The 20883-nt window shown below is 56.9% G+C and overlaps 1 protein-coding gene and 1 non-coding gene across 33 annotated transcripts in view, besides 1 other annotated feature; both read right to left on the reverse strand.

The window, feature by feature from the left end:
* The window catches only part of PITPNM2 (phosphatidylinositol transfer protein membrane associated 2), a 168369-nt gene that overhangs the window by 6811 nt on the left and 140675 nt on the right, over window positions 1–20883 (reverse strand). For 8 of the 32 annotated variants that reach the window (XM_047429206.1, XM_047429212.1, XM_047429205.1 and 5 more), the window contains 12 exons: window positions 19560–19787; window positions 14950–15258; window positions 14104–14199; window positions 10764–10868; window positions 10488–10558; window positions 7035–7282; window positions 6431–6620; window positions 6168–6287; window positions 5099–5370; window positions 4511–4689; window positions 2209–2379; window positions 255–419 (listed from right to left, as the gene is read on the reverse strand). In XM_047429206.1, coding sequence (XP_047285162.1) covers window positions 255–419; window positions 2209–2379; window positions 4511–4689; window positions 5099–5370; window positions 6168–6287; window positions 6431–6620; window positions 7035–7282; window positions 10488–10558; window positions 10764–10868; window positions 14104–14199; window positions 14950–15258; window positions 19560–19787 — 2154 coding nt within the window. Of the gene's footprint in view, window positions 1–254; window positions 420–1350; window positions 1609–2208; window positions 2380–4510; window positions 4690–5098; window positions 5371–6167; window positions 6288–6430; window positions 6621–7034; window positions 7283–10012; window positions 10189–10487; window positions 10559–10763; window positions 10869–14103; window positions 14200–14949; window positions 15259–19559; window positions 19788–20883 lie in introns of those variants that run through there. The other 24 variants (XM_047429200.1, XM_047429201.1, NM_001384660.1 and 21 more) reach the window with 9 other exon arrangements.
* Window positions 3582–3671: an enhancer, noted in NCBI's record as "active region_7249". NCBI's record gives its function as "activates an Ori minimal core promoter by ATAC-STARR-seq in GM12878 lymphoblastoid cells {active_cell/tissue: GM12878}" and the evidence as "EXISTENCE:reporter gene assay evidence [ECO:0000049][PMID:35858748]".
* On the reverse strand, window positions 20377–20438 carry MIR4304 (microRNA 4304). Its single transcript, NR_036187.1, has one exon. It is a non-coding gene; the product is annotated as a microRNA 4304 (primary transcript).

The raw sequence follows: 20883 nt of genomic DNA on the forward strand, positions 1-20883 counted from the left end.
CAGAATCCTCCTGAGAAGGCGAAGCTTCTCAGCCTAGACACTGCAGAGTCTTTGGACTTGACCGGTCTCTGCTGTGGGGCTGGCCCGGGCACTGCAGGTGCCCAGCAGCCTCCCTCCCTCTACCCACCAGGTGCCAGCAGCAGCCCTCCCTAGCTTCATCAGCTAGAAATGCTCCTAGACATGGCCAGCAGCTGTCCCCTGTGGGCACAATGGCCCTGGCTGAGTGAGGAGGGTGAGGGGCCTGGTATACTCACTCTGGGCGATGCTGGATGCCGTGTAGCTCTCAGCCATGCCTGACACCTGGCTGGCGATGCTGATCTCACTGGCTCGGCGGAAGCCACGACTGGCAGGGGCAGTGCCCGGCGAGGAGGGGGCGCCATGCTCTTGGAAGGCTGCATTGTGGGTCTGGAGCACATCCGCTGCAGGTGGACAGGGACCAGAGGCCAGGTAAGAGAGGCCCTGCCCAGCCCCGGAGCAGTGGGGAAGCCAGTGTGCCAGGGTCCAGTGTGCACCTAGACTGGAGGCTGGGCAGCAGCTGTGCCAGAGCCACCTGCTCAGGGCCGTGAGAGGAAGGGGCCCAGAGCTTTAGCAGGTGAGGAGGAGGGCTGGGGCAGGGTGGACTGACGAATGGACACAGACACAGGGCAGGGAGGCGTGGCAGCTGGGCTCAACCTCAGTCACCCTCCTGCCCCACACACACCCCTCAGCTTGTCTCCAGCACCCCAGTGGCTCCAGGGCCTCCAGAGCTCACCCTGGCCTGACCTGACCCACAGCCCACAGCAGAAGCAGCGGCTCCACCCAGGTTTGCAGGGCGCTGACAACAGGTGCCATGGGTGGCTTCCTGGGGATGCCCTGCACATGCAGAGCACAGAGAGAGGCAAGCCCTGAGCATCCCTCACACAGGCCACAGCCAGCAGCCCCTGATGGGCGTTTGGGGACAAAGGCAGGTGCTGGGGGCTCAAGCCAGGCTCACCCAGGCGCAGGCTGAAGACAGGACAGAACAGGGAGGATGGGGCTCAGCCAGACAAGCCACACCTGGACGGGGTACAGGAGGTGCCTGGGTGACCTCAGAAAGCGAAGGAGTGGGCCTTGGGGAATCCAACCCCTCGCTGGGACCAGAAGCTTCCCCAGGTGAGGGGTGGGCCCGGCTGGCTCAAGGCCTCAGTCTGCTTCTGGCAGAGCCCTGGAACTGTCGCTGACTTGCTGTGTGGCCCTGAGACGGCCTCTGCTGTCTCTGAGCTGCTGCGCCCCTTTGCTTTGGCTCTGCCCTGCCTCTGGCCCACAATATGCAGGGAGGAAGCACCGACATCAGCTCCCCAGAGCCGTCCTGCCCAAGTCTCTGTTCCTCACCACCCAGGTCCCACGAACTGTGAGTGGCCAAGGAGGGCATGGATTGGGGGGTGTCCCTGAGGACCAGGTCAACCAACGAAGCAGACGTCACCACGAGCAGGGGAGGGTACACACACTCGGCACAGCCCGGGCGGGGCCCGTCTTGCCAGGTGGGCGCGGGAACAGGCATACTGGTTTCCAGGAAGCCGTCCCCGTGGGGGAGAGGGGCCAGGGGGCCGCCCTCCAGGACCAGCTCAGGGTTTCTCTGCACGGTCTCGACTGGAGGCAGACGGGGAGAGAACAGAGGACAAGAACAGACACTTGCATGGGCCATCCAGACACGCTCTGACACAGAGACTCAGGGCTCCTCGAGGACCAGGACGTGACAAGACGCTGGGACACACGCTGGGGCAGGGGTCGGGCCAAGCCTACCTGGACCTCCCCTGCCCCAACGCATCTCCTGCACCCTATCTCGGGGCCAGCCGCCTGCCATGATGGGACCCAGCCGACCCAGGCCCCCTACTAAGTGAGGGTCCCTGCTGGGTCCTTAGCTCTGTCTCTGTTGGGATGGAGGCTCAGCTGTGGAGAGGGGAGTCTGGTCTTGTTCTGCCCTTTCCCTGCTCCGGGGACCCTGGAACAAGGCCCTGACCTGTGTCCTCTGAAAGGTGGGAACTATCATTTGTGCCTCACAGGGATCAGTGCGGAGGGATGCACCACCCCCACCCCCCACCCCCAACAGCTGTCCACCTCCAAGAGGCATTCAGCACAAGCTGTCCCTCTCACCTGGGGAAGAACCACGTAGCATGGAGGACCTAGGAGCCAGGGAGCCACGCTTACCCCACCTTCCCCCAGAGGAGTGGGGCGGAATGTGCCTCTCACCCAGCAGCGTGGAGCAGCCATCCCCCAGCGGGTAGCGTTGGTAGCGGGGGACGCTGAAAGGCGGCAGGGCGTGAAAGCGCCGTTCCAGCAGCGGCTCCAGGCGTGAAGCTGACGGGTCCGCGGGGTGGAAGAGGTTGTAGACTTGCTGGCAGGCCGGCCGCAGCTGGAAAACTGGGGGTGGGGGTGTTGGCTGCAGAGCTGGGGCTGGCCCTGAGGAGCAGTGGTGGGGGTGGGAAATTTGGGAACTGGGCACTGGGTTGTCTGCTGAAAGTTAGGGATAAGATGGGGGGTGTGTCTCTATCAATTTGGGACCTGTTTGGGTCATTGTCACTTTTTTGTTTGTTTGAGACAGGGTCTTGCTCTGTCACCCAGGCTGGAGGGCAGTGGTGCGATCTTGGTTCACTGTAGCCTCCGTCTCCTGGGCTCAAGTGATCCTACCCCCTCAGCCTCCTGAGTAGCTGGGACCACAGGTGTGCACCACCACACCTGGCTTTTTTATTTTATTTTTTGTAGAGATGGGGTCTTACTATGTTATCCAGGCTGGTCTCAAACTCCTGGACTCAAGTGATCCTCCCACCTGGGCCTCCCAAAGTGCTGGGATTACAGGCGTGAGCCACCACGCCTGACCTCTAATTTTTTTTCATTGCAAAAGTTATAATGATTGTGGTAAAAGGTGGTTTGCAGTACAGAAGAGCATATGATGAAGGGCACATGGTGGAAACCCCTTCCACCCCAGATCCCCCCGAAGCTCCAGCTCATCTTGCGGGAGCACCACCGAGTGCTGGCTAGGGCAGCCCTGCCCTGCCTGTATCGGAAAATGTTTCCCCTTCTGTCAAATGGGGCAGCAGTTCCAACCACGTCATGGAGTTAAGGAGATCACGTGAATGCAAGGTTGTGTTAATTATTAGTGCTGTATCTCACTTTTAGAGGGACATAAACCAGAACATATGCTATGCCTTCTGAACTTTGCCTTTTCCTCCCATTTAACACAAAAAATGTTGGCGTCTTTCATGTCAGCACGTCTAGTTTCTCCTTGCTCTTTTTCAGTGGAGGCGGGTACTCCACTGTGTGGTTGTGCCAGAATTTATTTAACCAGCCCCTCCACATAGACGGACATTTAAGTTGGTTCTGGTTTTTCACAATGACACATAATGGGACCACAACGGTACTGTCCCTAAGTCTCCATGCACCTGTGTGGGACTCTGTGGGGCTGTTCAGAGCCTGCAGTGGCTGGGGCACAGGGATGCCCTCCATGGGGCTGCCTTGGTTGTTGGGGTCCCCTTAAAGCTACCCATTTCTCTTCCTGGCAGTGCTGAAGTCGCCAGTTTATGGAAGGGGAAGGCACTTGGGTGCTGAGTCCAGAGGTCTGCATTTTTTTTTTTCTTTTTTTTTGAGACTGAGTTTCGCTTTTGTTGCCCAGGCTGGAGTGCAATGGCACAATCTTGGCTCACCGCAACCTCCGCCCTCCCGTGTTCAGGCGATTCTCCTGCCTCAGGCTCCCGAGTAGCTGGGATTACAGGCATGTGCTGCCACACCTGGCTAATTTTGTAATTTTAGTAGAGACGGGGTTTCTCCATGTTGGTCAGGCTGGTCTCAAACTCCTGACCTCAGCTGATCCGCCCGCCTCGGCCTCCCAAAGTGCTGGATTACAGGCGTGAGCCACCGCGCCCGGCCAGCTCTGCATTTTTAACCTGCACTTGGCAAGCATCTAAACCTCTCTGAGCCTCAGTTTCCCCCTCTGTCATCTGGGAGTGTAACATGTGTTGCTACTCTCAGGATTGTGTGGCTCCTGGAGCTTTGCAGGCTGATCCCAGGGCACAGGGCAGGGACTGCTGCTCCAATGACGCCCAGCCGCTGGCCTGCCTGCCCTGGGTAGACAGAGACGCACAGCTGTGGCCCCTCCAGGGCTGGGAGCCCACTATACCCAGGAGGCTTTGGGGATGCCTGGCCTCTGCATCTCTCCCTATGGGAGGACCTTGGACCTGGGAGGCTGGGTCTGTCTCCATCTGACTCTGGGGTGGTGCCTTCTCTCCCTGGACCTCAGCTTGCCCATCTAGGGGTTGACCCTCAGCATCCACAGGCACCCCGGAGATGAAATGAAACAGCAGGTGTCACGGACGGCCAGTGACTGAGCTGCTGAAGCAGGAGCAGAGGATAGCAAGGGGCCCTTGGTGGGGAAGACAGGAAGGAGGGCAGAAACAGGCCTGGGACGTGGCCATGATCTCATCACAGGGGTCCACTGAGACCCCCGCCCCCGCACCCAGTGCATGTACCCCCCATCCTGCCCCTGCTGGGCTCTCACCATCCAGGGCTGGGATGACAGTCTTCCTCAAGGCCAGGACCAGCCCCAGCGGGCACCCGAAGAGGAAGAGGTCGGTGATCTCAAAGTCAAACCTGCCCAGGGCACCTGTGCCATCCAGCATGGTGGAGCTGCTGGAATGGCGTGAGCAGGGCTCAGTCCTCAGCACGCTGGCATGGAGGCTGCAGACCCAAATAAGACTTAGCTGTCATGTGGGTGCAGCTGCCATCATCTGCCACGACACTGCTGGTGGCAGCAGGTCCCAACCTCTCTCGGGGGCCCACTGGCTTCAGGACAGCCCTGAGCTGGACCACCTGCCCCTGGTCCATTCTGCCCCCAACTCTGCCATTCCCCACCCTCACCCTCAAGACAAGTTGCTCCCTCAGGCCCAAGATGGCCCTTGGTGTATATGAGACAAGGCATCCAGTAAGCCACTTTCTCCTGGGCCCAGACTGGGATTCCAGGTCTCAGGCTGGGGGAACCTCAGGCAGACAGCCCGGGTCTCCTGTTGGCCATCACAGGGGATGTTCCTCCCTCTTGGAGCCTCTTCCCACACCCAGAGGCAAGCCCCAGCCCCCCAGCCCTGCCCACCTGGACAGGAAGGCCTGGTGCTGCTGGATGGTATCCAGCTCGTAGGTGGATGAGTCGCTCCTCTTGCGGGGCAGTTGCCTTTTGGGGTCCTCAGTGCCGTTGCTGCGGGGGATGTCGACGTTGCTTCGGCTCAGGTGCCGACTGCTCTCCAGGCTGGAGCCACCACTACTGCCACCACCACCACTGCTGCCACCACCGCCACCGCCGCCACCGCCACCACCGCAGCAGTGTGCTGCATTCATCAGGATGCCCGGGGACAGCAGGTCATTGTCCTGGAACGGCCCCGTGGAGGCTCACTGCCAGGTGGCCGCTGGCCTGACCCCTTCTCCAGTGTCCTGGAAGCTGCCTCCTCCCTCCTAACCCCAGGCCAAGCGGCCACTGTCCAGCCGGCCTCTTGCCAAACCAGAGGGGAGGGCCCCATTCCCTTCTGTCCTCCCACCCACCAGCCACCCTGGACCTCATTGGTCTACAGGCCGTTTTCCACTATGCAGCAGAGGCAGGGAAGCAGAGAGGGGTCGCCCATCCCACCTCCTAGGAACCAGACCCCACTGCCCGCAGTGCAGACCCTGGTTCAGGCTCATGAAACCACACGCATTCCTAGGCTTGGCCACATAGCAGCTGCTCCCCTGCCCCCATGTACCTGCCCTGCCGCCTCTGGGCACCTATGCTGCCAACCTTTGCCCTTCCCATCCTTTTTTGGAAGGGTGAGGGGAAAGAGATTGTGAGAAAAACTGCTACAGCTCTTTCAGGGCCCAGGCACTTTCCTTGACTCTTTGGCCAGAATGTGCTGGGCTTCCTCAGCTCCCCTGCACCCCCAACCCCTCCACAGCCCCTGTCCTGGAGGTGAGCTCTGGCAGCAGGGTTGGGGGTCAGGGGCTTGGAAAATGTTTGTTGAATGAACAGAGCTTAACTGGGTAGAGTCCAAGCCAGATGGACTCAGGAAGTGCTGCCAGCATTCTGCTTGGTGGACACAGCCTGGGGCCAGGTGCAGGAACAGGCAGGGCAGCCACCCTGGGGGCGTGCAGGAGGCTTCAGGCCTTGGGGACTGTCTGGGCCCCCACTTGGGTACCTGCATGCTGACCACGCTGCCCCGGCGGCTGCTGCTCTGACTCTCAGACACCGGCTGGTTACTGTAGCACAGGGCATCAAATGCCAGGATGCCCCCGACGCAGTCCCCAATCAGGCAGACCTTGGGAGAGAGGGGCCAGAGGCCTGAGCCATTCACCCGCTCGCTGGACTATAGGCTGGGGAGGCCGTCACCTTCCCCCTGAGGCCAGCCCGCCCTACAGGGTCTTCCATCCTCCTCCCCTCCCCAACTTCCCCGGGACTCACCTGCCCATTGAAGGTCATGCCCTCCTGGGACTTGATGAAGTCCCCATAGGCAAGGTTGGCTCGCTGAATCACTGTGGCAACTGCCTCCTGGTACTGGGGGGAGGAGGTGGCCAGCAGGGGGAGGGCAGCCAGGGGAATGTGGTCCTGACTGCTGGACAGACAGCCTTCGTCATGGCTGTAGGGGCTGAGGCTGGGGAGAGGGGCCAGTCAAGAGAGGGCAGGCGGCTCCAGCTCAGCCCAAAGGGCCCCTCTCCCCTGACCTGAGTCTCAGCCATGGACTCAGCATACGCTAGTGAGGACCCTTCCCGGCCAGGGCCTGGATAGGCTTGGGGGACCAGGGTGGGTAAGACCCCATGTCTCAGAGGCAGGCCAATATCCCCACATTACACGTTTGGAAACGAAGGCTCAGCCATGGGCCCAGGCCTCCTGGGACTCGAGGCTTAGCCTGCGTGTATACGTTTGGGCACCTCCAGGTAGAAGGGGCTGGCCGGTGGGTCTGGACATCGGGGCAGGAGTCCTGAAACTGGGGAGCCACCTGAGGCCCAGGGGTAGGAGGAGGACAGTGCACTGCCGGAGGCTGCAATCAAGGGCAGATGCCACTCACTTGGAGACCAGGGCAAAGGCGTCAGAGCAGACGGGCGGGCAGGGCACCAGGCGGATGGCAAGGCGGCCCAGGGCGCTGGGGTAGTGCACGCGCATGACGGTGTCGAACACGTTGGCGATGGTGTTAGCATCGCCCTTCTTGGAGCTGGGGTCCCCGGCGCCTGTGTCCAGGATGGTGCCTCCGTGCAGCACCAGTAGCAGCACGTGGATCTTGGAGGGCGGTGCAGCCAGCGGCTGGCTAACCTCGTCCTGCATGGGTTGGGGGACAGTGTCAGCTCCCCAGGGAACCCAGCTCCTTGCTGAGGCCCCTCTGTCACCCTTGTTGGGGGTGTGCCTCTTGCACGCAGCCCAACTGCTCCCTCTGAGAACCCCAGTTTTGGTTACTCATGCCTGGAGCCTGGGGTTTGGCTGCCTCAACCCCTCCCCTGGGACTCTTGCAGGGACTGGAGCCTGCAGGAGGAGGCAGGGAGGTGGGCCTGTCCACTCCTCCTCCTGCAGCCCTGCTCCTGTCTGCCACCCTCACCAGGGGCACAGAGGACATGGAGGGAGGGAGTCCATTCCTTTGAGAGCATGAGCTCTGCTTCCTTCAGGGAGCCCGGGCAGTGGCTTCTGGGGCTTCCAGCTTTAGCGGGAGGCAGAGAGGTTCAGCCTGTCTTGGCCTTGGGGGCTGCCTGCCCTGTGTGTGTCTGTCTTGGCCTGAGCAGACAGGGCCACCACCAGCTCAAAGTTACAGAGGTCACCTGAGAATGGCTGGGGTCAGGGCATCCACAGCCTGAGTGGGCGGCAACCCCAGCTACTCTGCCTGCAGCTCCAAGCTCTCCCCCAAGTCATTCTCCCCAGGCCCCCACCCTAAGGCCCTGCCATTCCTGGCCTCTCTCTAAGACCAGGGTCTCCAAAAGGAGAGGTGTCCTGGTGGGGACGGAGCCCCAGCACCTTAGAGAGGAGGTCGATCAGATTTCAAGAGGTAATGACCCCACCTTCCTGCCAGGCCAGGCCTGCCTGTGAGGTCAAGGTGAGACCCTAGACCTGCACACTTGTGTAGGGGCTGCGAACTGCTCCAGGCTGGGGGACTGGGCCAATATCACATAGCGTGTCGGTGCCAGGCTGGATCAGAATCTGAAGCCTCTGCCACTACTCAGCACTCTCCTGCCAGGCCAGGCTGTGGCCCTGTCCCCAGAGGTCACCCTCCCCTGCCCCAAGCTTCTGGTATGTGACCAGAGGATAGCAGCAGGGCCAGGGCCTGAGAGGGGCCACTGATGAGTACTTGCTGTGTCCATATGATGTCTGGGGTGTGGGGGCAGGGAAGGGAGCTGAAGGGAGAGTCCTGCCTCCAAGAACCCGAGGAGACAGACCAAGGAGCCAAAGCCATCTAGAGGGCTTGTGGTGGGGACAGCTGGCCCTGAACTGGCCAGGGGGTAGGGGTAGCACCAGGAACCAGGTGCCAACACAGAGGCTGGGTGGGTGGGGAGGGCAGGGGCTGGATCCAGGACTTAACAGGCCACCAGGTGGCTGGGCGCAGTGGCTCGAGCCTGTAATCCCAGCACTTTGGGAGGCCGAGGCAGGCAGATCACTTGAGGCCAGGAGTTTGAGACCAGCCTGGCCAACATAGCAAAACCGTCTCTACCAAAAATACAAAAATTAGCCAGGCATGGTTGTGCACATCTGTAATCCCAGCTACTCGGGAGGCTGAGGCAGGAAAATCGTTTGTACCCAGGAGGCAGAGGTTGCAGTGAGCCAAGATCGTGCCACTGCACTGCAAACTGGGTCACAGAGTGAGACCCTGTCTCCAAAAAAAAAAAAAAAAAGTGGGCACCAGGAAGGGCAAGGGAATGGATGGGCTGGGCCAGGAGCCACTGAGCAGCAAGAAGCCTGGTGGGTGCTGCTGAGCTGGAGGAGGAAGGCTGGGCTGCCCTCACCCCAGGAGGAGCCAAGGGCTTCTCTCTTCTTCCCAGGGGCCAGGGCAGGACTGACACTTGTCTTCACATGGGGATTAGCCACCACTGGTTGGCCTGGACACAAACACACTCAGCCCAGGGCAGAGGGGGCCACCAGCTGCCCAGAACACATGGCAGGAGGGAACAACATGAGCCCTGTTGGGCTTTGACAAGGGCTTTTTTCCAGTCCAGTGAGGCGAAGGGCTTATGGAAGAAATGTCTTACGCAGCCTTCACGACAGGGAGGTGACATCCAGCGGTACTTTGTCACCAGGGGATGAGAAGGGCTTGGCACTGGGGGCTGAGAGAATCCTGCATAGGCCTGTCTGACTGGGCTCAGCCCTGGAGATGATCCAGGGACCCCCAGAGGCCCCTGGAACACAGCCTCCCTACACTCAGCCTGCTTTCTCCAAGGGGACACCTGGCCTGCCCTGGGCTCTAGTTGGGGCTGAGCCCCCTGCAGCTGTAGAGGCATCCCCCTACTAGTGTCTCCACAAGGCAAGGAGCAGGGGCTCCGGTTTGGGGGTTCTTGCAAGCAAATGGATTTGGCTTTGGATGGCGGTACCCCAGAATCAGTGCTGGGTTCTGAACACACACCCCAAGGCAGATCCAGAGCCCCAGGCCCCTTCTGCCCCTCCCCTGGGGGGGCGTCAGAGCTGTGTGTGCTGCAGGTGGGGAAAGGGATCCGTTTGCTTATCTAGACATTAAGCAGCAATTGGAAATCAACTCCCCTTATTCCATGACCCTTTCTAGAAAGCTGACCTCGGCATCAGACCGCAAAGCAGAAAACCACAGGAGGGGGAGGCTGTGTGGATGTCCCTCCTCCTCCCCGCCTAGATTCCCCGGGGGCCCGAGTTCCCCACAGAAGTGGTGCTGCCTCCACCTTAGGTAGCTTGAGGCCAGAGCAGTGCGGTGACCGCAGGTGATGGTGGGACAGCCCAGCTCAGCCCTGGCTCCTGTCCCAGTGCAAACAGCTCTGACGGCCCGCAGGTGGAGGAGGATGGGGCATGAACTCCCACAGAGAACCCCCGAAGCGGATACAGGCGCTCTACCAAGACAGTTTTATTGGACACACTGAGCTCCGCCTGCCTCCCGCGGGGCCATCTTGTCGGCCACGGCCACATCACTTCTGCCTAGACGACTGTCGCTTCCTCCCTTTTCGTCTTTTTATCTTCAGGGACAGCAGACAGGCTGGGCACAAGGTGAAGATCTTATTTTTGATCTGGAATTTACAAGTTTCTCATTTTACTTTCCCATGGGTGGAGCTTGGATAAGGCTTTCTCAGGGGTTGTCTGTAGTCCCTGGTTCTCGGGGACCTCAGAGACAGAGGGCGACAGGCGCCTTCCTAGCAGGGCAGCAAAAAAGGAGGCCCAGGCCTCTCCCCAGACAGTACCCAGGCAGGCGTGGAGGTGAGGCTGCCAGGCCCAGAGTTCCACCTCTGTAACCCCTCAGACTATTCCTCTGCACCCTGCCCCTCCCTTGGCGGCCATGCCCCTGTCCCTCTGACACCCGGGCACCCACCTCTATGATGTTCAGCTGCTCCACACTGGAGGCCACCCTGAACTCAGGGGCACCCTGGCGGTACAGACCATCTGCAAAGACACAGAAGCCGTGCTGTGAGCTGAGGGGCAGCCCAACCTGGCCGACCGGACAGAGGCTGCAACTGTGACGAGGGGAGCTTGGGGGTCCCCAACTCACATGTATGCCCAGCACTGTGCAGAAGCTGGTCAGAAAGGAGGGGGCTGAAGCCCTGCAACCGCCCTCCCCAGGCTCTGCAGCACCCCCAGACCTGCTGACCTTGTGTGTCTTCCGGCTCTGGGCTCTCGATCTTGTCCATGAGGTCATTGGAGCTCCACTTGGTGATGTCCTTGGGGAACATTTCCTCTGTGTCGGACAGGTCCTCTGGAGAGGAGAGAGGGAAACTCAGGTGGGACTGGGAACGCTGGGGAAGCCTGGCTTCCCGAGGTGGGGACGCCCCTGTGTACGGCTCTGCTCTGACCGTTCCTCAACAGGACGGCCACACAGCCCCACACCTTGGGCATCTTCCTGACCATTACAAAAAATAGTGGTAACATTCACATAAGAAAAGTCACCATTTATAAAGTGGCATTTAGTATATTCACAGTGCCCTGCAACCATCACCACTATCTAATTCCAGAACATCTCACCTCCCTAAATGGGAGCCTCATACCCGGGAGCAGTGGGTCCTCAGTCTTGCCTTCCTTGGCCCCTGGCCACCACCAATCAATTTTCTGTCTCTACAGATTTGTCTATTATGGACATTTCCTATAAATGGAACCATACACCATGTGGTCTTGTGTCTGGCTTCTTGCACTCAGCATAGGGTTTCTGGGGCTCCTCTATGTTGTAGTGTGTGTCAGATGCTTCATTCCGTTTTATGGCTGAACCATAGTCCATTGCATGGACACACCCGTTTTGTTTGTCCACTCATCAGCTGATGTTCCTGACTGTTTTTTTAAAAATGCTATATTGACCAGGCATGGTGGCTCATGCCTGTAATCCCAGCACTCTGGGAGGCTGAGGTGGGTGGACTGCTTGAGGTCAGGAGTTCAAGACCAGCCTGACCAACATGGTGAAATCCCGTCTCTACTAAAAATACAAAAATTAGTCAGGCGTGGTGGTGTGCGCCTGTAGTCTCAGCTACTCGGGAGGCTGAGGCAGGCGAATTACTTGAACCTGGGTGGCGGAGGTTGCAGCGAGCTGAGATGGTGCCGTTGCACTCCAGACTGGGCGACAGAGCAAAACTCTTGTCTCAAAAAAAAAAAAAAGCTACATTTAGGCCAGGGGTGGTGGTTCACGTCTGTAATCCCAACACTTTGGAAGGCTGAGTCAGGTGGATCACCTGAGGTCAGGAATTCAAGACCAGCCTGGCCAACGTGGCAAAACCCCGTCTACTAAAAATACAAAAATTAGGCAGGCATGGTGGCATGTGCCTGTAGTCCCAGCTACTCGGGAGGCTGAGGCATGAGAATCACTTGAATCTGGGAGGCAGAGATTGCAGTGAGCTGAGATTGCACCACTGCAGTTCAGCCTGGGCAACAGAGTGAGACTCCGTCTCAAAAATAAATAAATAATAAATAAAAATAAAAAATGCTACATTTACTTTATTCCATCTTCACCATTTTTAAAATTTCTTATATATTTTATTTTTTTGAGATAGGGTCTTGCTTTGACGCCCAGGCTGGAGTGTAGTGGCACAGTCATAGCTTACTGCAGCCTTGACCTCCTGGGCTCAAGTGATCCTCCCATCTCAGCCTCCCGAGTAGCTGGAACTACAGGCATGCGCCACGACACTTGGCTAATTTTTTTATTTTTATTTTTGTAGAGACGAGGTTTCACTATGTTACCCTAGTTGGTCTTGAGCTCCTGGGCTTAAGCGATCCCAAAGTGTTGGGATAACAGGCGTGAGCCACCGTACCCAGTTCCTGTTTTGTCAAATTGACAAATAATCATAATTGTACATATTCATGGGGTACACAGTGATGTTTCAATACACCAGTGCATGGTGATCAGATTAGGGTAATTAGCATATCCATCATGTCAAATATTTATCATTTCTTTCTGTTGGGAATGTTCAATTTCCACCTTCCAGTGATTTGAAACTATATATTACTGTGGTTTAAAAAAATTTTTTTATTTTTGGTATTGACAGGGTTTCGCCATGTTGCCCAGGCTGGTCTCAAACTCCTGGGCTCCAGCAATCCACCTGCCTCAGCCTCCCAAAGTGCTGGGATTACAGGTGTGAGCCACTGTGCCTGGCCTAATACATTACTGTTAACTCTAGTCATCCAGCAGTGTCACAGAACTAGAACTCATTCCTCCTATCTAGATATAATTTCATATCCTCTAACAGGCCTCTCCCTGTCCCTCCACAAAAGCACAGCTTCATAAGAAGTGCTGCTATGAACACCGCCTCCAAGACTCCTCCTCCTGCTCCTCTGAGAACTTCTGCCCAGGACCACCAGGCTCATGGCTACTGTCTGGCTCTGGCACTTGCCGGCCCCCCTCCAGTCCTGGATGGGCTCCTGGGCCCATTTCCCCAGGACACCGCTGTCCTGGCACTTCCTGCTTTGCTGTCTTTTTTACAGCTTTTTCTATGTGAAATACGTATTGTCCTCTCATCAGGGTCAGAGAGCCACCTGGGAGGGGTGGGACGCCAAGAGGCCCCTCCTCCGTCCTGGGCAAGGCTCCTGGTGCAGAGGCCAGCTCGGGAGTCCCCAGCCACCATTCCAGGTCCTCCAGTCCCAGGGCCAAACCAGGCACCTTTCTTCTGCCTGGACACTGACTCCCCAGGTTCCTTCCCTTGAGGGCAGCTGGCCAGTTAACCAAAATGCCACCTTATGTGGTTCCTGTGCCCCTCCAAGCCACAGTGGTGACATGAGATCTGGTGCTGCCTGTGTCTGCTGAGTGCCTATGGGCTCGCCCCCATCCCTTTCTGAGCCTCTGAGCTGCTGTGTGAACTTTGGGCTGGCTCAGCCACTGGCTTGCAGAGGGACCCAAGCCCCCAACCCCTACACCTGCTGGCCCCTCCAGCTTCCTGGAGAGGAATGGCTGGGGCACCAAGCAGGCGAGCGCTGTATGCATGCCTCTTCCTGGCACAGGTGGTGCATCTGCTGTATGGTCATGCGCTTATTTTGGGACTAGTGGGAAAATGGGCACTTCACATGTTTTCTGCTTATTGCATTTTCTAAAGTGCCTGCATTAGATGTGGTATTAATTTAATCAAGAAGAAATAAGGTAAGTACAAAAAATTAGAAAATTAAAAGAAGTTATGCTTCCATGGAAATAAATTCACATACGGAATAAAGCCCTAGTCTGATGGTGTATCCTTATTTGGGGTTTCAAGAGCGCAGTCCCCATCTGCCAGGCCCACAGCACATCCTGATATCGGGTTCTGAGACCCCAGACTCAAGGGAACAAGATGACCTCATCTCATCCTCTGTGCACTGCCCCAAACACCAGGCTGTCCACCTGGGACAGTGCAGGTATAGGGACTGGATATAGAATAGTAACAGGCAACACCCGCATCAGTCCACACCCACACCCTAAGCCCTTTCAGACCCCTCCCCACCTCGCCCAGGAAGGCCCCAAGGACTGCAGAGCGCTGCCTGCCTACCGTGCGCATCGAAGAACTCATCATCTGAGCTCTCATCCGAGTCCCTGGCAATACTCTGCATCCTCCACTCTGAGATGCTGTGGCGGGAAGGACTCGCTGGAAGGCAAAACCCCAGATTGACCGCCAACTGGAGAGGAAGGGCCCAGAGGCTGCCCTGAGCCGGCAGGAGGCAGGGAGGGCCACCCACAGGCCTGACAGGCATCACAGAGGCTGCCACAGGAGCCAGGAAGGTTCCGAAGAGAATGAAGTGTGTAAATGAGTGGGGAGCGGCCTAGGCTCATCTCCTGTCCGCCTGGCACAAGGCAGTCATGTCCCGGGGAGCATGGGTGGGGAAGAGCATGACAGACATAAGCCCAGGACGTGGGGTAAGACAGGCCTGGGTCCACTCCTGGGCCTCTGACCTGAGTCTGACCAAGAGCAAACTCCTGAAATTTGGCCACAGCAGGGCCCAGGCGGGAGATGAGTGAGCCAGGCCTGCCTGCTGGAGAAGCTGGCTCCACCCAGGGTGCCTGGGTTGATCCTTAATCTCAGGGTCTGAAGTCTCCTAGGGTCCCCATCAGGAGGGGTGGCCCCTCCACCGCGCTGCAGGAGCCCAGCCACCTCCACTGCTCCTATGGGTAGCACTGTCTTCCCTGGGCATGGAGGGGAAGTGTTGGGGAGCCCACTGGGGCAGGGCCCAGGCTTCCCTGTGTGCGAGGACTAGCCCAGGGCTCTGACTCCCTCTGGGCTTGGTGCCTCAATGTCCATGGGAAAGAACTCTGAGGAGGTGCAGTGATCCAGCAGTGTGTGGGGCTGCCTTGAGGGGAGGGACCTTGAGTGTGGGTGGCAGGTGGCGCAGGGCCTTACCTCCCCGCTTGGACGACCGAGACGACTTGGAGGATGTGGACCACTGTTTCTTGAGGCCGCGCCCCACTAGGGGCTCCCCATTGCTGCTGCTGGGCTCCGGGGGCTCCCCAGAGGTCTGGTCCGAGACGGCTTCGTGCTTGACGAGCTCAGTGGCCTCCTCACCATCCTCATTGAACTGGGCCATCTTACGGGAAAGCATGAGCTGTGCCTCCTTCTCCAGCTCCCGGATGTTCTCCATGCTCAGCCCATACCACTCGTCCTGCCAGCACCAGGCCTGCCGGTGAGCCCGCACCATCACCCTCCGTAGTCCTGTGCCCCATGGGGATCAGAGAGGGAGAGACGAGGGGAGGGAGGTCAGCGCAGGAGCCTGCACGGAAGTGTGGGGCCCAGGCAGGGGCTTTGGGAGGCTGTACCCATGTTGCAGGTCAAACTAAAGTCACTGCCTGTCTGTGCCTCAGTTTCCCCATTTGTAAAATAAGGGGACTGGCTCACAGATAGTCTCACAAGCTCATAGTGGTTCTATAATTAGAGTGGAGGGGCCTCCCAAAGCAATGTGTCCGGTCAGAAGCCACAGTTGGAAGGGCGCAGTGGCTCATGCCTGTAATCCCAACACTTTGGGAGGATTAGGTGGGAGGACAGCTTGAGTCCAAGGGTTTGAGATCAGCCTGGGCAACGAAACAAGACCCTGTCTCTATAAAAAAAAAAAAAATTAAAAAAAAAAATTAGCTGAGCATGCTGGTGTGCGCTTGTAGTCCCAGCTACTCTAGAGGCCGAGGTGGGAGGATCACTTGAGCCCAGGGGTTTAAGCCTGCAGTGAGCTATGATTGTGCCACTGCACTCCAGCCTGGGTAACAGAGTGGGACCCTGTCTCTAAATCGATAAATAAATAAGAAGCCACAGTTAATTTTCTGGGAGATTCCTGCACAGGGGAGGTAGAATAGGACTTCCTGAGAGTCTCGTGTCTCAGTGTCTGCTATATTTTTCCTGTTAAATTTCCCACGGAAAATCAAGTTCAAGTTCAAACTGGGTTGGTTCTCCTTTTCTTTTGTTTTTTTAAAAAAAGCTTTTAGTAGAATATATTATGCACGTGAGATATATAAGAATATATTATACATATAAATTAAGATGTAGAATAAAGTAAAGAATATATACCTTTTAAAGTATAAAAAACAATTAAAGGGCCAGGCATGGTAGCTCACATCTGTAATCCTAGCACTTTGGGAGGCTGAGGTGAGAGGATGGCTTGAGGCCAGGAGCTTCAGACCAGCCTGGGCAACACAGGGAGATCCCCCATCTCTACCAGAAAAGACAAAAAAAAAAAAAATTAGCCAGGCGTGGTGGTGTGTGTCTGTGGTCCCAGCTACTTGTGAGGTGGAGGTGGGGGGATCGCTTGAGCCCAGGAGTTTAAGGCTGCAGCGAGCCATGATCATGCCACTGCACTCCAGCCTGGGTGACAGAGTAAGACCCTGTCTCAAAATAGTAATAATAATAATAATAATAATAATAATAATAATAGAATGATAAAGACTAAAAGCAGACTGGGGGTTGCCTTGGGCCAGGGTGGGATGGGGATGACAGTGAAATGGGAACAAAGGACCTTCTGGGGTGATGAATGCTCTGAAGTTGTGCCCAGCTGTGAATATACTAAAACTTACCAAACTGTTATCTTACAATGAGTGAATCATATGGAATCTAAAATTATGCCTCAATAAAGCTGTTTAAAAAACATTAAAAAGCAATGAGACATCCACATCCACAGCCCCAGCGAAGAAACACACCATCGCCGGCGACAGGGAGCCCTCCACTCGCCTGGCCCCTGACAGTTGGCCCCGAATTTTGCTTGTCATGCGTTTTGCCTTCTGGTCTCAGCACACAGATGTGTTTTCCTGCACACTGTATCAGGCTGGTATGGCTGTTGCTGAATTCCGCATCTATGTGTCACGCTGTATTTTTCTGCCACTTGCTTCTCTGGGTGAGTTTTGTCCATGGATGCACGCGTGGGGGCTTTGGCTCATCAAGCTGGGATTGTGTGGCATCCGTGTGTGTGTGAAATGCCACATTTCATTGATTCCTTTTCCTGCCAATGGGCCTTTGGCTAATTTACATTGTTTCTCCATTTTGCTTTCATAAACCTGGTGCTCTGAATGAACATTCCAGAACAGGCATGGGGATTTCTCCAGGGGACAAACCTGGGAGAAGCAATCTCAGGGCATGTACCCCCGCCTCCCCTAGAGCATGCTGAGCGGGTTTGCAAGCAGTTGGGCCACGCCAGGCTCCCAGGCTGGTCTCCTGTGTACCCTCTTTTCCTGCCTCCTCACTTCCCACCCCTGGCTTTGCTCAGCCTTCCTTTCTAAATCCCATCCATTCTTAAAGACCTCTCTGTGGGATGGAGTCCTGTGTCCCCTGCCCAAGCCCCAGGGGTGGCCTCAGATGTGGCACACTGAAGAGCCTTGGTTACCTTTTCTGGGACTGTCTGCTGGCCTCACAGGGCTGCCAGGAAGGGCCGCATCCCTTGCTCTACCCTATATAGGGAAATGCCTCCTCCTGGGGTGACCGGAAGGGCTGGGACATGCACTACATCTGGGGCCAGGCAGTAATGAGGACAGCTGAGAGCTGTCCCAACCCCCAGGAGTTGCCTCCTCAAGGCCCCCAAGAAGCCCAGCGTAGCTCACATGAGTTCACGAGATCATCCCCGTGATATTATAGGACTAGTACTCACAGTTGTCATCAAGCTCCACCTATGTGCCACACCCCATCTTCAGTTCTGAACCCACGGTCTCGGCCCACAACAGTCCGATAGGATCGGTGTCATTACACCCATTTTACAGAAGAGAAAAGCAAAGCTCAGTGAGGCTGAGAGACCACAGAGCCACTACGTGTGAGTCAGGCCTGGACTCTAAAGTTGTCTTCTTTCTTCCCACCAGCCACAAGCTCCTGCTTTCTGAGGGGAGAACTGACTTTCAGGGAGCTGGGGAGTCTCTGCAGCTTGGCCAGGATCTCAGCTGCTGGGTAGGGCTAGGGAGAGCCAAGCAGACCCACAGAGCCAGAGTGCCAGGAGCTGCAGCCTTAGTAGGTCTGCTGGGTGTCCTGTGCAGGGCTGAACCTAGAGAAGCCTTGAGGAGAGGGTGGGACGAGTCACCAGCGCTGATGTGTTCAGGTTCCTGGAGGTCGAGAAGGGCGGTAGGGGACGCCCTGCCCAGGATAGGGGAGCCCCTCCCAGTCCTGCCCACATGCTCCTCCACTCCTCATATTGCCTGGGAAGTGAGAACCACCATTCCCATTTTGAGGCTTCAGCACTGGGGTTGCAGGTCCCAGTCTGTGAGCCCTGGGTAATGGAGAGAGGCAGGTTTGGGCCAATCTAAGCTCCCATGGGGTTAGAGAGATGGATTGTGGGAATGCATCCCTCTCAATGGATGGGACAGCTTCCTTCTCTTCCTGCCACCTCTCCCAGCTGCTGATTGACACCGCAGCAGCCCTTCTGGAAAAAGAATGGTGGACAATGTGTCTGAGTGTTCTGCCCTGGGGATGGAGGTGGTGACACCAACACACCCATCGAGGCCCTGTCCACGTCTTCGCTTCTCCAAGTGGAAGACCGCGTCCTTGGACCCCAATCCTTTCGGGTACACATCCACCCTTCCCTTGGGGTCACAGCCCCAACACTGAACATGGCTGTCTAGTGAGACACCTCCCTTACTGATGCTAAGAACAGGAGGATGTTAATTCAGGACAAGGGTGGCTGGGATGGGAGGCAGATCTAGTTCAGCCCCAGTGTTGGGTCTCTGCTTCCTCCTGCATAAGTGGAGTGACAATGCCTACCCTCATGGGTTATCGTAAGCTTACGTGACAAGCGTGATATGTACTGTCAACAGTGTGGCTCTGTTCAATCTTAAATAAAGTCACCCTTGCTCATGGCATCACAAGGTGTCTGGCTGGGGTGCCTTTTGGGTCATGGGCCTCAGGGACCGGAACCAGCTCTTGGAATGACATCATGCTATGACCTCGGCAGAGGGGGGTTTAGGGCTCTAGGTGAGGAAATGGCACTCACTGCACCAGGACCCCCAGGCCATCTGCTGTCTACCTGTTCCATGGGCACCTACTCTGGCTAGGCTGGTGTGGGTGTGAAGGCCACTATGATGTCTGAGACACCCTGCTCCTGGGAGCTTCCAGCCCAGTGAGGGAGGCTGAGCTGTGGCCCTGGGTTCTGGGCCTCCTTGAGTAGAGGAAACAAAGGCCTGGGAGCCCAGAGGCCCAGATGAGCAGCAGGGAACCTGTCCCCAGGGGCTACTCAGACCTGTGGAGTGTGGGCTACTCTTTATCAAATGCGAACTAGGTCAGGAATGTCTGGGGGCAGTGCCTAGGGCTTCTTCATCCAACAACACACACTGCTTGTCTCTGCAGATGCTCAGTAAGTATTCATGGATGTTCAAGATAACCCATGGCTGGCGGGTAGTGGGGAAGCTGGACATGGGCTTTGGTGTCACCTTCCCAGAACAAAACAGAAACGCAGACTCCCAGGCAGACATGCAAAGAGAGGAGGCAGACAGGCAGGTGACAGGAGACAGAGGGGTTGGGTAGCCCAGCCACTGCCCACCTGGCATGGGTGTGCTCACCGGTGTCGTGGATGAACCTCTCGATCTTGGACTGCATGCCCCAGTAGCGGAACTCCACCTTGCAGAGCTTGTATGCGCACATGATGGGGAAGACCTGCTTCTTGTACTCCTCGATCCAGTTCTCGGACAGGGGCCCCCGCTGGGTCTTGGTTGACTGGAACAGCTTGGGGTCCTCTTCTGTCTTATACTCGTTGTGGGGCACAGGGTCTTTGACAATGTCGATGAAGTCTGTGGGTAAACCCTTAGAGTGGCCACTTCTGCCCTGACCTCAACCCCCACCCACATCTCTCCATGTTCCTCCACCCCCAAATCCTCCCAGGACTCTGGGCCTTGCCCTGCCAGAGGGACCCTGGGAGTGAGGATCATGTTCTGGGCAGCTCTGACCTCAAAATCCCTGACAGTGGGGCCTGCAGTTTCCTTGGTGCATTCATTCATTCAGATAAGGGTCTTGCTATGTTGCCCAGGCTCAAGCACTCCTCCCACCTCAGCCTCTCAAAGTGCTGAGATTACAGGTATGAGCCAACGAGCCTGGCCCCTTGTTGCCTTTTCAAGTCATTTCAGCAAAACCCATGTTCTGAGTGCACCCTACCTCTTGGCAAAGCAGATAAATAAGGCAATGAGGAAACACTGGGGAGATGAATTTCCATGAAGAATACAGGGTGGGAGGAACAGAAGAGAAGGCTAGGAAAAGCTTCCCACAAAGACGGTGTTTCAGCCAGAGGGGTGGAATCAAGAGGTCAAGAATGTCCCAGCAGCACCGGCCCTTGAACAAGAGGTGGGGGGTTCTGGGGAAGGAACCACCAGGGTGTCTGCGTGAGGAGAAGGATGGCAGCAGTCACAGAGCAATGGGGATGCCCTGGACATGCCGGCCACTTCTCTCCAAGCTAGGAGACCGGACAGTTCCCTGAGAGCCAAGTGGACCCAGGTATAGATCTGAGGCTGAGAGGGATGCAGGCAGGCTGGCCTGTTGGAAAAGCCTTCCTGGACAGAGACCGGAAGAGATGTCTGAAGAGGCCTACAGGGGGTGTCTGGCCAAGCTTGCTCCAGGCTAGGCCTGAGAGCAGGGGCAGATGCCACAGAGGTAGGAGTGCAGAAAACAGGCTTAGGGGCTGACAGGACCTGGTGAGGGTGACAAGAAGATGGGTGATGGCTCTGGGCAGGACGTAGGCCAGGCCACTTATGATCACAGGCTTCCCCTCCACAGCAGCATCTCAGAGCCCTCCTGTGTGCTCACTCCCGAGGCACATGTGTGTTGGGCAGGACTGGGGCACTCACTGGGTGAGAAAGAGCCCCAGTAAAGGGTTTGTGGCTCACAGAACCCTTT

The sequence above is a fragment of the Homo sapiens genome, chromosome 12, assembly GCF_000001405.40.
Source record: "Homo sapiens chromosome 12, GRCh38.p14 Primary Assembly".
Classification (NCBI taxonomy): domain Eukaryota; kingdom Metazoa; phylum Chordata; class Mammalia; order Primates; family Hominidae; genus Homo; species Homo sapiens.